The sequence below is a fragment of the Homo sapiens genome, chromosome 22 (genome assembly GCF_000001405.40).
Source record: "Homo sapiens chromosome 22, GRCh38.p14 Primary Assembly".
Taxonomy (NCBI): Eukaryota; Metazoa; Chordata; class Mammalia; order Primates; family Hominidae; genus Homo; species Homo sapiens.
Genome location: NC_000022.11, coordinates 26,882,201 through 26,899,496, shown reverse-complemented (window position 1 = coordinate 26,899,496; position 17,296 = coordinate 26,882,201). Strand labels below are relative to the sequence as shown.

General features: G+C 46.4%; 1 pseudogene; it reads left to right on the top strand.

Annotated features, from left to right (window-relative positions):
* Window positions 11,920-12,643, top strand: RPL15P22 (ribosomal protein L15 pseudogene 22; annotated as a pseudogene).

Below are 17,296 nucleotides of genomic sequence, written 5' to 3'. Positions count from 1 at the left end.
GATTTGCCAGGGTCACCCAGCTATTTAGGGACAGAGCCAGAACTAGAGTAAATACCTCCTGGCTCCATGCCCAGGTCTCTTTTCTCCCCATCGGGATGCATGCGGGTTCTTAATCAAGGCTCAGGGATATCTACGTAACAGTCATAACATTTGGCATTTGTCACACTATTTACCCCCATATGGTTCCAGAGAAATTTACAGTGATTACACACCAGAAATACACACGTTAGAGAGAAAAGTGCACATTACAAGAGGATTAAAATAAAATAGAGAAGGTAACCAGGGCAAAGGGAAAATGAGAATAAAAAATAGGATGGAACCAAGAATGAGTTTGGCACACAAAACACGCTGTCCGGATGCAGTTGCTAAGCAACTAGTGGCCAAAGCAAAGAAGGGAATAGGAATCTACGTGTTTAAAGATGGAAAATATAGTCAGTTATTCAAAAGAAGCAGATTTCCTTGGTATTCCCCTGGAAGCAATACCTCCTAGGTGATCATACCAAGGCAGCTGTCATGCAGTAGAGGATGCTCTTCAAAAACAGGTCTCCAAGAAATTAAGCAATTTTGACACCATTGATTCTTGAAATGTCTTACAGGGAGGTTGATGAAAAAATGTCAAAGTGCAGTCCAAGAATTCAGAACTTTTGATGTCCACGTGGCCGAAGACCATCATGTTTCCAAAGCCAGTAGTCAGAGTCCATTGTCATCTTACTTGACCTCTCAGCCGTATTTGATACCACTGATGGCTTCACCTTTGTGGGTTGATGTTCTCTCCAAGGACACCACATGCTCTTGGTTTCCTCCAATGTCAGTGAAATCTCCTTCTGGATGTCCACTATCGGGTGCTTCTCCTTTCCCCCAATGCCTAAATCTTGCAGGCTTCGGGACTCAGCTGCAGATGTTCCCTTGTACTTATCTGTCCTCGGTTCTTGGTGACCTCATGGCTTAAACCCATCCTTAGGCTGATGCCTTCATATTTTCTCACTCCAGCCTGATCTCTCTCCCAAAAGAGGTCAGACTCACATATTCATCTGCTCCCTTGACCTCTCCATTTGGAAACTAACGGCATCTCAAGCTTCACAACCCCTCGCCAAAATCTAGATCCCATGCCACTCTTTCTCTAACCTGGTATCACCTCCAGTCCTCATTTCAGGAACAGGCACCATCATGCAAATAGGTGCTCAGGCCTGAAACAACTCAACCTTCACTCAAACAACCCAACCTTTATTCCTCCCTCCTTGTCACATCCAATGTCCAATTCATCAACAAGTCCTGGCAGCTCTATTCCAAAAATGACTTCAAGTGCACTCATCTCTCCCCTCTCTACCTCTTGGTCTTGGCCACCTTCCTTTCCCACCTGGATAGCAGGAATGCCTCCCATCTTGCTCCTGGCCCTACAGTCATTTGTGCAAACAGTATCCAAAACAATTATTTTTGAAATGTCTATCTGAGTAGGTCACCACCTGGTTCAACCCTCCCCTATGGCCTCCCCATCACCAGAAATCCAAGGTCTTGGCAGCGCATGGCCTGAGCCCTGACTCCACTCCCCGATCTCCCCATCGCTCACTCTTCTGCAGTCACACTGGGCTCTTCCCTGTTACTTATGTGTGCTGGGATGCTGTCTTCTCACAGCCTCTGCATTTACTGATCTCTCCTCCTCAGAAAGAGATCTACCAATGCTCTTTCCCTAGACAGACCCTGGCTCACTCCTCCACCCCTAAAACAAAGGAACCACCTCCTCCTCCAGGGGGCCTTCCTTGACAACTTTATTTTAAATGGACTCTACATCCTCCCTCCCACCCCTTACCAGCCTCCCCTGTATCCCTGTAACTTCCCCCTCACCTCCCACCAGCCTCCCTTCCCACTCTCCAACAGTCTAGCTTCTCTCCCACTTCCTACCTGCTTCCCTCTCCCCCATTACCCGCATCTCTCCAGGGCCTCCCACCTACATTGGCCTCTGCCTTACCTCCTATGTGTAGAGGATTAAGTCTCTTCTCCACAACACTATGAGAGCAGAGATATTTGCTTCATTAGTTAACCACTGTATCCCCAAGACCTTGCACATAGTAGGTGCTCAATAAACACATGTTGCACAAGTGACACTCTCATGGTCTGATTTGTTCCAAGAAACTTCTTCAGCTGAAAACTCCAAGGAGATCGGCCCGTGGGAAGAGCAGGGTGGACTCTGAGCACCTCAGTGTTGGCTGACATGCCTAGAGAGACCCACACTGAGGGTTTTGCCTTTGATGATGACACACGGAGTCAGGCCTGGCAGTCCCCTTGGCTGATGCCACCAGGGACACCCCGGTAGTTCTGCAGCTTTCCCTTAATCATAAATATCTCCCCTTGGTGTCAGCAGACCCCTTGGAAATCACCAGAGGAAATACTGGCATCAAACCCCGATAAATTCCTAAATGCCCAAGCCAACCGCACCAATTTACAGCAGGTTTTGACTTTAATAATGTTTTGTCTTAGATTTGGCCCTAATTATAAATCATTTGCAACTGTGGTTTAAACCATAAGCAAATCTTACATGGCATTCTTATTATCTACTTAATATCGCAAAGAGAAAGATTTATGGAATCACATTCCGGGAATTAAGCAAACGAGGAAACTTTTAGGTGAGGGTGAAACACGTGAAAATTATAGTTTTGTCATAAAACGTTGATTGATCAATGATTATTGTAAAACGGTGGTAACTGTGCTGGCGTCAACATAAATCTGTAATTGGCTGGATTTATTCTTTTTCAAAATACTATATTTCCTACAGTTTTGACCATCGTGTTAATATGAATCTGTCAGATTTACTGTGGTTTTAACTTAATTAACTCCATTTAGCTTATGCATATATGTGTGCGTGCGTGCGTGTAGGATGTATGTGTGTGTGTGTGTATATATATACACACATAGATTTATATATGTTATACTTATCCTTAAAATGCAATGTCCACAGTCACTTTTACTTTTTACATAATCGTTTGTGGTTTTCTTCAAATATAATTTTTTACACATTTGGGAAAAACCCATTTTGCGTATGAAGCCAACTCTTGCTGCAGAAATGGGTTCAAAGCACTGTTAGAGTTTTTCACCTGTGGGGTGACCACATCAGGTAATGATATTGCATCTTAGGAGACAGGGAAGACTGCAAAAAGATCCTGAGTCAGGCTCAAATCTTGACTCTGCCACTGAGTGGCTGTATCACCCTAAAGAACCTATTCTACCTCTCTTTGCCTGTCTCATGTGTAAAATGGGAATGGATTACTTGCCCCTACTTCAGAGGCTACTGTGAGGCTTAATAAAGTGATGAATGTTATGTGGTTGGCATGAGGCTTGGCATGCAGTGGATGCTGAGTGCATGTTGTAGATGGCCCTTCCTTCTGCTTCCCAGCCAGGGAGTGGACTTGCGACGTTTGGGGTAGCATGCCCCAAGGAGTGAGGTCAAGGGAAAATCCTAACCCTCAGAGGAACCATCTTAGGAAGGGCCAGTTCCAGTGCCAGAGGGAACCAGCCCAAACACCAGAATCACCTTCTAACCCGATAGGACCAGGGAGATGGTGGGTTCAGATCAAAGCCACACAGGGACAGATAACCATACACTAAATCAAATTTAAAATAATAATAATAAAACAGTAGCTCCCACTTACCCAGAAACACTTTCTTTGCATCAGGTCCTATGCATTTTTTTAGTGGAGAGTAAAGGTCTCACTCTGCCACCCAGGTTGGAGTGCAATGGTTCAGTCAGAGCTCACTGCAGCCTCCAACTCCTGGGCTCAAGAGATCTTCCCCCTCAGCCTCCCAAGTGTCTGGCACTACAGGTGCTCGTCACCACACCCAGCTAGTTTTTCTAGTTTTTGTAGAGATGGGAGTCTCACTATGCTGCCCAGGCTGGTTTCAAACTCCTGGCCTCAAGCGATCCCCCCACCTTGGCTTCCCAAAGTGTAGTATTACAGGTGTGAGCCACAGTGCCTGGCCCATAATTCTTTATAGACTTGATTTTGTTATAAAGCTCAGCAAAGCCCACTAGCACATCAACCTTGAGATGAGAAAATTATGATTTCAGAAATGTGACTTGCCCAAGGTCACACAGCTAATAAGTAGTGGAGCTGAGACTCCAGGCCTACATTCTGAGGCACGGAGTTTTACTACCTCTGACTGTTACTGGGCCACACATTCCTCCAGCAGCTGCCCTCTCTCCTGGCAGCATGCATTCTGAACCGATAATTCCTTCCAAGTCTAAGCCAAGGAAAAAGGAGGCCCAGTTCAGCCACTGCAGTCTCTTCCTGTCTAATTGCTAAGAACAGAGCTAAGAAGTCATTGCTTTGAAGCTGAAACTCTTCTCTTTCTGTGGAGTTTCACGTTTGTATTTAATCGTGCTTTATTTTTCTTGATTCACACTGTGGAGCCAGTTAAAAATATTTTCTGAGAGCCTATTCTGAGTCATTGATTCGTGGTGTCTGTTCTGAAGTTGCCCAGGGTCAAGTGAGTCAGCTGTGGGTAAATGAACCCAGACACTGGATTTCACTGAAAAGTAAACACTCCAAGCAATGGAAAAAAAAATGTTGGTTTCATATATAACTTTCACATGCAAACTTCCCTCCAGTCTTCCCCTTCTTCCTCCACTTCTCCCCCATCTCTTTCTTCTCCCTCTCCCTTTCCTTCCTTTCCACATTGATTTTTCCCTTTTCTCATCTCTCTCCCTCTTCATTTTCTCCAGTCTTCTCTCTCCTTCTTTCAAACTTTTTTCTCCCGTTCCCTTTTCTCTCTTATTTCTCTCTCCATCTCCCTCTCTTCTTTCTTTTCTTTCATTTTTCTCTTCCTTCTTCTATTCTCTTCTCTTGTTTCCTATACTCTTTTCTATTTTGCACACAGGATTTTGTTTTTATTTAGGTGAGACCCACACAGCAGGAAGACGACTGCTATTGAAAAGATAGTTTATTACTCACAGTTCCCAAGAGGAGGGGGCGTAACACGTTACACAGGGCAGAAGCAGCCAGGGAAAGCATAGGCCAGGGCCTTTATCATGGATTTTGTTTTCTCAGTTAATGGTAGCCAAAATAAAATAATAATAATAATAATAGGCTGGGCATGGTGGCTCACACCTATAATCCCAGCACTTTGGGAGGCCGAGGCAGGCAGATCTCTTGAGCCCAGGAGTTCGAGACTAGCCTGGGCAACATGGTGAAACCCAGCCTCTACAAGAAGTACAAAAAATTAGCCTGGCACGGTGGTGCACGCTGTCCTCCCAGCTATTTGGGAGGCTGAAGTGGGAGGATCTTTTGAGCCTGGGAGGCACAGGTTTCAGTGAGCCAAGATTGTGCCACTGTACTCCAGCCTGGGAGACAGAGTGAGACCTTGTCTCAAAAACAGTAATAATACTAATGATAACAATATCATGGGTTTTACTGGAAAGAACAGGTGAGCCAGGGTAGGCAGACTTAGCATTGGCCATTTTGAATAATTTCGGCTGACTCTGGGCTATAGGGGCAGTCCCTAGTTGTCTGGTTCCTGGTCCTGGGGTGATTTGGAACAGGGGGATAGCGTCCTGGAAGGCAGGAGGTTGAAAAAAAGACTCAGGATTGGTTGGTTTGCATATCAAAGGCTTGCTCAGAAGAGAAGTGGTTTGCTACCTCTAGGAATTACCTAACCCTGGGAGGGGCACTCCCTCCTTGGATCCTCAAGACCTCCACAATTCCCAAGCATCATCAAAGACAGAAAGTTAAAAACACGATTTCTACATCTTTTTTCCTTCCTCTCTTTTACTCCTTCCCCTCTCCTCTTCTCTGTTCTCCCTTCTCATTCTCTCCTCCTTTCTGCCTCCCCAGGGCCTGGGAAGAACTCATCGCAAAGGTTCAGGTAAGCAGTAACAAAAGCCTAGGTTGAGTGGGTGGCAAGAAGCCAAGAGAGGAACAGACAGCATCACGAACTACTTGGGAGGTAGAACTCTCGTTTTCAGTGACTGGATGTGGCTCCGACAGCCCTGCTCAGCTCTGCCTGCTGGCCCGAGCTCCGCACCACCACTTCTGGGAAAGCCGCCCCTTCCTTGCTCCAATGGTGGCGGCTGCTGTGTCCTCACCCTGCCGCTATCCCGTGGGTTGGTTGTTTTGCCCAGGCCTGGAATTACCCAAATCCCCTTAAATACACGACTGCAAATGAGGACCCTGGAAAAAAAGGCAATAATTGTGACAGTAACTCACGGGGCCAGGCCTGACACGTCTCTAATTGCCTGCTAAAATTGTCGCTGTCTCCTAAAGTGCAAATTATCACCCGAAATGACAAGAATAATGAATGAGTAACTCTGATGTAATGCAACAATTAGTCCTCAAAGACACTGTCTAATATGGTAATTCAGAACACCCACTCCTTGTTATTAAGTGCCTGATAATTATTTAATTATCTATCTGCCAGCATGATTTACTTGGTTTATTTAGCTGCAGATGTGGGCAGGAGCGTTTGGGTTTAAGGTCAGAGTGAGCTGGCCCCTCCGCTGGCTGCCACATCGGTTTGCTTGGGTGCTGGAGGCTGCCGCCCGTCTGACTTCCCTAATTGGCTTTGGCAGTCCTGACCCAAAGTCGGAAAATTGCCTCTTCTCCACCCCCGGCTCCGGTTCAGGGTCATTCAGGGGCTGAGGGTCTTAAAGATCATGGATGAGAGTGCCTGCCTTCCCCTGCCCCTTCGGACCCTCCGACAGGTGATCAGAGTATTTGGGGGCAGCAGCTGCCCAAACTGAGCTTGATGTGAGTGTTTACTGTGCTGGGCACGGCGCCAACTCCTACACAAGTGTTAGCTCGTTTAATCTTCACAATAGTGCCAGGAGGTAGAGACAACTGGTGCTGGCATGTGACAGAGGAGGAAACTGGGACTTGGAGAAGTGAGGTCATTCGCCCAAGGTCCCACAGTGAACGAGTGGTGGGCCGGGACGAGCCTCCCTGTCCCCAGAGCCACTCTACTCTCCTGGACCCTGACAGTTGCAATGTGAGGATGGCCCCAAAGCTGTGAGTCACAGCTCATCCCAGGCCAGTGCGTGCCCAGAAGGGTCTGGGCAGGGACTCAGGAGGATCAGTGTCCTGCTCTCCAAATCATAAAATCACTGATAGGGAAAGCAAAAAGAGTGGCTCTAATCTCTGTTGGCTCAAGGAATTAACTAACCCAGAGCCAAGGAGTAGAAGGTATTACAGAGAGACAGAAGAGATCTACAGTAAGGGCCGCTTCCTAGCTGAATGCACTTGGGCAAGTTCCTTACCCTCTCAAAGCCTCGGTTTCCTCATCTGTAAAGTGGAGATGGTCAGAATTTGCCTATGATCGCCTGTTGAAAGTACCCTCATCATCAGATACTCTCCACCTTGCACCCTGTTGGGTTTCCTTTACTGAATGTACCTGACTCTCTGATTATCTTGTTCATTTATTTACTTATCCCCCCTCCTACCTGCCCCCACCCCCACCCCCACACACACATAAAACATAAACCCCAAGGGAGCAAGGACCCTGTCTGTTTTATTCCTCCTTCATATTCCCCGCATTGAGCACAATGCTTGGCACATCATGATCTCAGTAGTCTCAATAAATATCTGTAGAATGAATGAACAAATAAAATAATAATCAGAAGCCAGGTGGGGTCCCCAGCCAACTACCCCCTTGCCCAAGTGACTCCCCAGCATCTCCATGCACACAGCTCCCTACTCCCCATCTGTCCTGGCCATTAATGCTGATGACGCCTTACCTTCATGCCCATACATTTTCACCACGCAAAAGGCCATGATGACCACTCCAGCCACAGCTGTCATTTCCTTGCTCTGGTCCTCAGCTGACCTGAGACTCCAAGCTTCCACCAGCTTCCTCATTCCACATTTCTGGGGGATAAGTCTGATTGGTCCAGGCCACCTGGAGCAGATGATCTTGGCATCCCACACACCCACATTTCCATAATGCTCCCCATTTCCAAGCACATCTGCCCAATCTCCACCTTCCAGCACATGACTGTCGGCTGCTGGAGCTCTCTGTGGCTACACACAGGCCACACTGAGAATTAACCTCCCCAGGAGTCACCTTCAGTAAGGGCTGCCAGGAGTTGGTGGGTAAATAGCCCAGCTCCCTCATCCCTCAAATTGAGATCACATAGAAGTGTGAATTCTAGATTGCCTCCCCCACTTTCCCAGTAGGATAAAGCTCTGTCTCTCACGTAGTAGATGCCATTGGTGCCCCACTCAGATCCCCTTTGAAAAGTCAATGCATCCAACCTCCTTGATGGTACATTAAATGTGCATTAAACTGGTGTTGTACATTAAATGTATATTAAACTGGTAATGTACATTGGTAAGTCCAGCCCCCTGCCGTGGTGAATGTTTGCTGCTAACACAGCAGCACCCCACAGCTAACACTGCCCTCCACTGACAGGAGTTGCCTTACCTGAAAATCCTGGAGAGGGTGCACCATCCCCTCTGCACCAGTTGGATACACTGGTGTCATGTAGCCAATAATTGACTAATACAAGGGTACAAAAGGCCAGCCTCTTTACTCCAAGGCAGGACAACTCTAGGGTACAAGTCACACTCCAGAGCTCCTCGTGGGATCAACTGGAAGCGCAAGACGTTACCTGAATCCACGTCTTTTACTAGCTCAGGAAAGGCAGGGCCAAATCTCTCTTGCTCACTGCTGCATCTCCTGCACATAGCACAGTACTTGCTGAGTTAGTAAATGAGTGCAAATGAGTTCATTCATTCATTCATTCACTGATATGAGTGAATGAATGCATATGCATGTATAAACAGATGTATGTACATATGCACATCAATGAATACATTTAAGCCATGGTAATTCCCAAAGCAGGACCTAAGCACCTATTTTCTAAATTATTAGCATGTGCATTTAAGTGGCCAAAGATCAGCAAAAAGGGAGGTCTGGGCTGGAAGTCGGACGGACGACCTCACTTTTCATCCTTGACTCACTGCGTGACTTTGGTTTTTACATCTATTAAATCAGAAAAGCACATTTATTTTTCTCCATGCTTTTTTTCCCCAACTTAAACGCTGTGTAAGTTTATGTTGTGTGTATGTGTGTTTTTTAAACTTTTTAATTTTGATATCATTTTAGACTCCCAGAAAAATTTTAAAGTAGTGTTTCTGGCCCGGTGCAGTGGCTCATGCCTGTAATCCCAGCACTTTGGGAGGCTGAGGTCGGCAGATCACTTGAGCCAAGTTCAAGACCAGCCTGGGCAACATAGCGAAACCCTGTCTCTACAAAAATACAAAAACTGGCCGGGCACAGTGGCATGCAACTGTAGTTGCAGCTACTTGGGAGGCTGAGGCAGGAGAATTGCTTGAGCCCAGGAGACAGAGGTTGCAGTGAGCCGAGACCATGCCATTGCACTCCAGTCTGGGTGACAGGAGTGAAACCTTTTCTCAAAAAAACAAAAATAAAAACAGAGTGATTTCATCTGCCTTTCCCCCAGCTTGCCCTAATGTTCATGGTTTGTGATGTTGAAATCTTCCGTTTAAGTGTCTGGTGATCATTTTAAGGAGGGAGAGGTGAACAGAGCCGTAGAAAGGAAGTCAGTTTCAGAAAACACAGAATGAAAATTCACCTGGCTTAGCAGCCTTCAAAAATGAGGTGGCGGCAGGCAGACAACATTCCTGCCCCTCTCCGTCTCTCTACATGCGTGGTGCATCTGCGGTTTTCTTTTATTTGTGGTCTATCACCTCCTATGCCATTGCAAACAAGAGACTTTATAAATATTTCAAACACTAATAATTTGTGCTGTCCCTACTTAGACTTTTAAATGAACGTAAGAGCATTTCTCTTTGAGGAACCTGCCAAACTGCAGGCTGGTGAAAGAAATACCACCGCCCCCCGTCTGAGCTGGGTACTTGATGTAGACATGGGAGCAGAGGCTATGACTGCAGGTGTGGGATGCCCGTCTCTCCCACACACCTCCCTTACCCCAGCATCTGCTCTGGTGAAGCTCTACCTAGCAGGACAATGGCCAACCTCATCTTTGGATCCACAGGGTGGGGAGATTCTCTCTGCTCCCACAAATGGAGAAATTGAGGGCTGCTAATTTCATGGTTGCTGTTTTAAGAGCTTTGGATATTTTTTTTTTTAGATGGTGTCTCGCTCTGTCGCCAGGCTGGAGTGCAGTGGCATGATCTCAGCTCACTGCAACCTCTGCCTCCCGGGTTCAAGTGATTCTCCTTCCTCAGCCTCCTGAGTAGCTGGGACTACAGGCGTGTACCACCACACCTAGCTGATTTTTGTATTTTTAGTAGAGATGGGGTTTCCCCATGTTGGCCAGGATGGTCTTGATCTCTTGACTTCGTGATCCGCCCGCCTCGGCCTCTTAAAGGGCTGGGATTACAGGCATGATCGGCCCAGCTTTGGCTTTTAAGTCAGACATTCTTGGTTTAAATCCCAGCTCATTCACTGTGTCGCCTTGCGCAAGTCACCTCTGTGAATCTTTGTTTCCTTATCCATGAAGTAAATATTTTCATGATTAAATGAAATAGTGTGTATAAAGTGTGCAAGGCCTAACACAGGCCATGAGCTCAATGCACAGTAGCTAGTATTTTCCCTTTGAATATTTCCTAGTCATTTATAATGGCTCAGACATAATAGAAGTTAATTTATTATTCACATAAACTACCCAATGTAGCTCCAGCTTTGAAGCCATGGGAGAGCCTCCATAAATTTGTTCCCACCCAACACCCAGCAAGCAGGAAGGAGAAGGACACGAAGCATTGTCCAGGAGAGGTTCCTTCTGTCCCTCACAAAGCTCACAGTCTAGGGAGAGAAGAACTATGGAAACGACAACCCATAATATGCAAGGTGGATCCTCAAGAGAGCAGGCACCAAAAACACTTTGGGAGAATAGAGAAGGGGGAAGTTGTTTTGAAAAGTAGAGAATACCCTGGCACACCCTGTCTGAAACCCTTCAATGGTGAATGGTGTCTCATTATTCTTAGGCAAGATAATGATCTCCTTCTCCAGCCTTCTATGTGGTCTAGTCCCTGCCAGCCTCTCCAGCATGGCAGTCCTGACACTCTAGGCTTTTTTTTTTTTGACATGGAGTCTCACTTTGTCACCCAGGCTGGAGTGCAATGGCATGATCTCGGCTCACTGCAACCTCTGCCTCCCAAGTTCAAGTGATTCTCCTGCCTCAGCCTCCTGAGTAGCTGGGATTGCAGGCATGAACCACCAAACCCAGCTACTTTTTGTATTTTTAGTAGACACGGAGTTTCACCATGTTGGTCAGTCTGGTCTCAAACTCCTGACCTTGTGATCCACCCACCTCCGTCTCTCAAAGTGCTGGGATTACAGCCGTGAGACACTGTGGCCAGCCAGCTTCTTTTTATTCAGTTAGTCAACCATATAATTTACCTTCCAAACCAGGCCACTTTGGAGAAAGGAAGAGAATGCTATTAATCAATAAGCCAGGACAATAGGGACTACCTGGGGTAGACCAAGATGGGCAGTCACCATACACCATCATTCCTGCCACAGAACCTTTGCACATGCTGCCCTCCCTACTCCGCACTCACCTGTCTAATTGGACCTGAAGCTTCAGCATCCCTTCTTTAGGGAAGCCTCTTCCAATACACCAATTTAGTCAGATCCCTTGTTAAGCATTCTGCTACAACTTGTTTCATTAGGGGCACTAATTTAGATTTCTAAATACATACTCAATTGTGTCTGTATTTGATTAACTCTCTGTTTTGAACAGGATATAAACTCCATGAAGTTAGAGACTGTGTCTCTTTTTGTTCACTCTTTATCCCCCACATCTGGCACATAGTAAAGCATTCCACAAATGCGGCATTGGAATGCATGAATAATTGCTGACCTCTCCCTGGAGGGCTCAAAATAGAAACCTTCTGATGTGAGAGGACATTTCAATGTGGTCTAGAAGAATAAGTAAAGAATTAGACTCCGGTCTGGCGGCAGCCATCAGATAAGCCAAGATGGGTGCATACAAGTACATCCTGGAGCTATGGAGAAAGAAGCAGTCTGATGTCATGCGCTTTCTTCTGAGGGTCCGCTGCTGGCAGTACCGCCAGCTATCTGCTCTCCACAGGGCTCCCCGCCCCACCCGGCCTGATAAAGTGCACCGACTGGGCTACAAACAAGGCCAAGCAAGGTTACGTTATATATAGGATTCGTGTTCGCCGTTATATATAGGATTCATGTTCGCCGTGGTGGCTGAAAACGCCCAGTTCCTAAGGGTGCAACTTACAGCAAGCCTGTCCATCATGGTGTTAACCAGCTAAAGTTTGCTCGAAGCCTTCAGTCCGTTGCAGAGGAGCGAGCTGGACGCCACCATGGGGCTCTGAGCGTCCTGAATTCTTACAGGGTTGGTGAAGATTCCACATAAAAATTTTCTGAGGTTGTCCTCATTGATCCATTCCATAAAGCTATCAGAAGAAATCCTGACACCCAATGGATCATCAAACCACTCCACAAGCACAGGGAGATGCGTGGGCTGACATCTGAAGGCTGAAAGAGCCCTGGGCTTGGAAAGGGCCATAAGTTCCACCACACTGTTGGTGGTTCTCGCCGGGCAGCTTAGAGAAGGCGCAATACTCTCCAGCTCCACCGTTACCGCTAATATAATTAAAGTTTGTAAAATTCATACCTAATAAACAATTTAGGACAGTCAAAAAAAAAAGAACGGGACTCCATGGAGAAGCGGATGAACAGCTTTCAAAGTGGAGGGAATTGCAGTGCGCAAAAGGAAATGTTGGGCCACAGCAAAAGCAGTCATAGAATGGCCTGGAGTTGAATAACTGGAGCACCAAAGTGTGGGAGTGAGCTGGAGGGGGCAGGTCAGGTTGGAAAGCCTTGAGTGCCCAGTGAAGGCCTGACTCTCAAAAAGCAACAGGGAGCCACGGAGGACACTTACCATTGGGTGCCTTTGAGGGCCATGGTGCTGGAGGTAGAATACAATCCCCACCTCCTCCAAGTAAACCTAGAGTCTGCTGGCAACAGCAGCTTGTTAAGCTTTTCTTACTTGGAACACAAATCTATTTTTTATTTTTCTTTCTAATTTTTTAGAGATGAGGTCTCGCTCTGTCACCCAGGCTGGAGTGCAGTGGTACGACCATAGCTCATTGCAGCCTCAAATTCCTGAGCCCAAATGATCTTCTTGTTTTTGCCTTTTGAGTAGCTGAGACTACAGACATGCGCCACCATCCCTGGTTAATTTTTAACCTATTTTTGTAGAGATGTGATCTCACTACACTGCCCAAGCTGATCTAGAACTTGTGGCCTCAAGCAACCCTTTTACTTCAGCCTCCCAAAGTGCTGAGATGACAGACAGGAGCCACTGTGTTCAGCCACAAATCTATTTTTAATGAAGGCTGGGCATGGGGGTGAGCACAGCCACATCTGAAGCACTTCTGTTCCCTGAAGGGTAGTTTGAGAACCACAAACACAAACATGGCTATTTTTTAAAGCTCTATCCAGGGCTTTCCCCATCAGCTATGGCCTACAGAAAGCAGTTGATGTACTAAGGTCACCCAGCCAGGAATCAAGCCCTGATCCTCAGTCCTGTGTCCTCCCATTGTGCTACTCTGCCTCCTGAGTAGGGCCCGGGAGAGGACACCAGTGGCCCTTCAGAGGGGGTCTTATCTAGCCCTGGAACCAGACAGAGCTATACCTGTCCCAAGTGATGGGCAGCTCTCACCATTCCCATGCACGCCAAGGGAGGGGGCAGAGCAATTGTCCTTGATGACCCAGTGTCCCCCCAAAAAATCACACCTCCCATTCCCAGAGCATTTCCTGTGATCCTTCTTCCAACTGAAACCCACATCAACTCTTGGAGCTGGTCATCATTCTTCTTTTTTATTTTAACAGTAAGGGAACTGAGGCTCAGAGAGGTTTGGTAACTTGCCCAAGGTCACACAGCTTGTGAGTGGCTCAATCCAGATTTGAACACAGATCTGACTCCAGAACTTTTTAACCCTGCACTAACCACTGCCAAAAGAAAAATAAAGTGTGTCCTGGGGAGAGCTCCCTTTCTCTGTGGAGACTTATAAGAAAGAAAAAAGGCAGGCATCTTCCAGTCTGAGATGAGTGGAAGAGAGTCCCACCAGACTCAGTGGAAGGACACGATGACTCCAATAGGTCTGCCATCCCTCAGATTCTATTTGCAGGGCTGTCCCTGTCAGGACAGATGAAGCATCATCCAGTTAGGCAGGCTGTCCACCTGGCTGTCAGCACAGCATCATTTATAATGCCTAAGCCATAACCAGGCTGTGATGAAGACTTCAGCCCTGGCTCCTCGGCAGGGAATGCAGTTGACTTTGGAACCAGCTGTCCTGGCATGCCCAGTACAGCAAATGTGGCTTAGACGTGAGCCCCAGTCTGAGGACTTAGGGTCAGCCACAACTCCTGCCACAGGCAATCTGGCACCGAGAGAGATGGTGGTGGCCAAATTGTTCATACGGGGCCATTTGTGTGTCTGAGAGCCGCAAGCGCTTGTCCAGTAGTTCAGATGATGGAATGTGTATTTCTCGTAATGGAAAGTGGAGTCCAACAAATGTATTCTTCATGACTCAAGACAGAGAATTGCTTTAAGAACTGGTCACTCTCTCACTGAATCTTCACAACAACCAACGAGGATGTCTTCTATGCCCCACGATCCCCACTTTGCAGTTGAAGAAACTGAGTGTCAGAGAGAGAAAAGGCCTGGTTGAAAACTCACCAGTGGTGGCCCAGAATAAGCTACCTTCCTACGTGGCAACCCACTGCTCAGCATACGAGGCTGCCGTAGCTGGAGCCTTCAGTCAAAGTTAGCCCCTTCCAGTCTTATTTCTGCATCAGGTTCTCCACTAAACTGTACATTCCTTGGGGACAGGGATCACATTGCTTTTAGCTCTCTACCCACGCATCCTGGGAAACAGTGGGTGTCCAAATGATTGTGATTCTCACAGTGTGTTGTACCCTAATTATTTATATGTATAAATTCATACTTCCACCAGATCAATCATTTGCAGGCTTATTTGAGCTAAAGAACCATAGTAAAATACAAAACAAATGGTGGTTATTTGACAATTATGCCAATGAAATTATCACAAGAGAGGGTATTATCCTACAAGGGATCCAGAGAGAGTTTTGAAATTTTCTGGTCCACAGAGGCTGCTGTCCCCAAGTCACTAAAAGAAAATGCTGAACAAGGAAACTCAGGGAAAAAAATATAGTAGGTATTTATGCATCCTCAATTATATGTCAGATATGGTGGAAGTGCTTCACATGTGTCAACTCAATATTTATCCCCAGAACAGCCCTAGAGTCAGTAATACATCCCTCACTTTATGAACAAGGAAACTGAGCCCCAGAAAGGTGGTATGACTTGCCCAAGGGCACACAGATAGTAGGTGGCAAAGCCAGGAGTCAAACCTAGGTCCGTCTGTGGGCCCTCCTGACAATCCTCCTCAGCCAGGTCCCCAAAGGGGATAAAACGCTACTGACCTCCAAAACTGAATAAGCTTCACAAACTTCTAGTCATTTATACGTTTAAACTATATTTTCTTGATGCCCATCTAAAGGTACTGAAGGGAGATGAATTTGACACCGTTTCTGCCCCCAAGCACTCACAATCTAGTTCAGATGAGACCAGTAACTCCATAAAATAAAGTGTGAGGATTCAGGGGCCAGAGAGGGGAGGCGGCTTTAATTCCTGAGTTTCAGTTACCTCACACACTGAGGAGATTTGGAGAGGCTATAATTTCAAGAGTTCCATTAAACACGAATGGTAAACAAATAGACATTTAAGAGACATTATTTTGGTCTTCTGTCCAAAGTACCTTACCTTCCTTAGACAAAAGAGTTGTTGAAACAGTTTATTAAATTGCGCTAGATTGAATTTCATTGGGTTGTGGGACTATCTTGTGCTGGGAGTTGTGCTGACTTGGATTGGCTTGTATTGGGTTGACTTAGGTGGCTGAGAAGTGGTCTGTTGCATCATGTTGAAATGTAATTTGTTGGAATTTGTTGGGTTCAATGGTTTTTGCTGAATAAGGTCAAGTTGAATGGGGTTGTATTGTGTCGGTGGTGAGGTTGTACTAAGTTGGGTTATGTCGGTTTATTTCAGTTGAATTGATGTGGATTGAATTGGGTTAAGTAGATTTCGTTGGGTTTAGTTGGCTTGGCTTGGCTGGAATGAAACTGATTGGTATCCATCTATTGAGAAGGGTGTAGAGCCATTTCCTGTCCAACAAATAGAACTGCTCTGGAAAGCTCTATATTTTAGGGCCAAAACCCACAATGGATGGAGCCATTTTGCATTTGAGGAAGTATGACCCAAATAAATGGTCTTTCCATCTCTGCTAAAATCTAGTTTACTGGCTGCAGAGATGGCAATGAGGTATTAGGGGGTGGATATTGCAAAGGTCACACGGTTTGTATGCAATTCTGGCATCTCTGTCGGTCCTATCCTATTCATCAATTTGCAAAGCATCATGGAGCTCTCTACATGTGCTGGATACTGAAGATCAAAGGATGAATAATGCCCCATTCCTGTCCTTAAGGACTTAATGATGCCACGCAATTACTGTTTACTATAATATTGTCTCCCTTGGGCAAACTCGTCATCCTCAAATCTGGCTACCAGCAAGACAATTGCCAACACTCTGACCCCAAGACATTGGAACAATGGAGAATATCCACAAGCACAAAAAATACTTTTGGTCAGGAGCGGTGGCTCACACCTGTAATCCCAGCACTCTGGGAGGCCGAGGCAGGCTGGTCACTTGAGCTCAGGAGTTCAGGACCAGCCTGGGCAACATAGTGAAACCCCATCTCTACAAAAAGAATACAAAGTTAGCCGGGTGTGGCATGTGCCTGTAGTCCCAGCCACTCAGTTGGCTTCAGCCTGTGAAGCAAAGCTTGCAGTGAGCCAAGATCATGCCACTGCACTCCAGCCTGGGCAACAGAGCCAGACCCTGTCTCAAAGACAAACAAAACAAAACATACTTTTTAAATAAATAAAGCCTCTAGCAAGTCTGATTAAGAAAAAAATGGAGAAAGGGAGTGAGAAGGGAGAGTTATACAGCATAAGTCTTTTAACTACAAAAACAGGAGAGCTTTTACAAATTATTTCAAAAATACTACAAGCAGACAGGGCATGGTGGCTCATGCCTGTAATCCCAGCACTTTGGGAGGCTGAGGCGGGCGGATCATGAGGTCAGGAGATCGAGACTATCCTGGCTAACACAGTGAAACCCCGTCTCTACTAAAAATACAAAAAAATCAGCCAGGTATGGTGGCAGGCACCTGTAGTCCCAGCTACTCAGGAGGCTGAGGCAGGAGA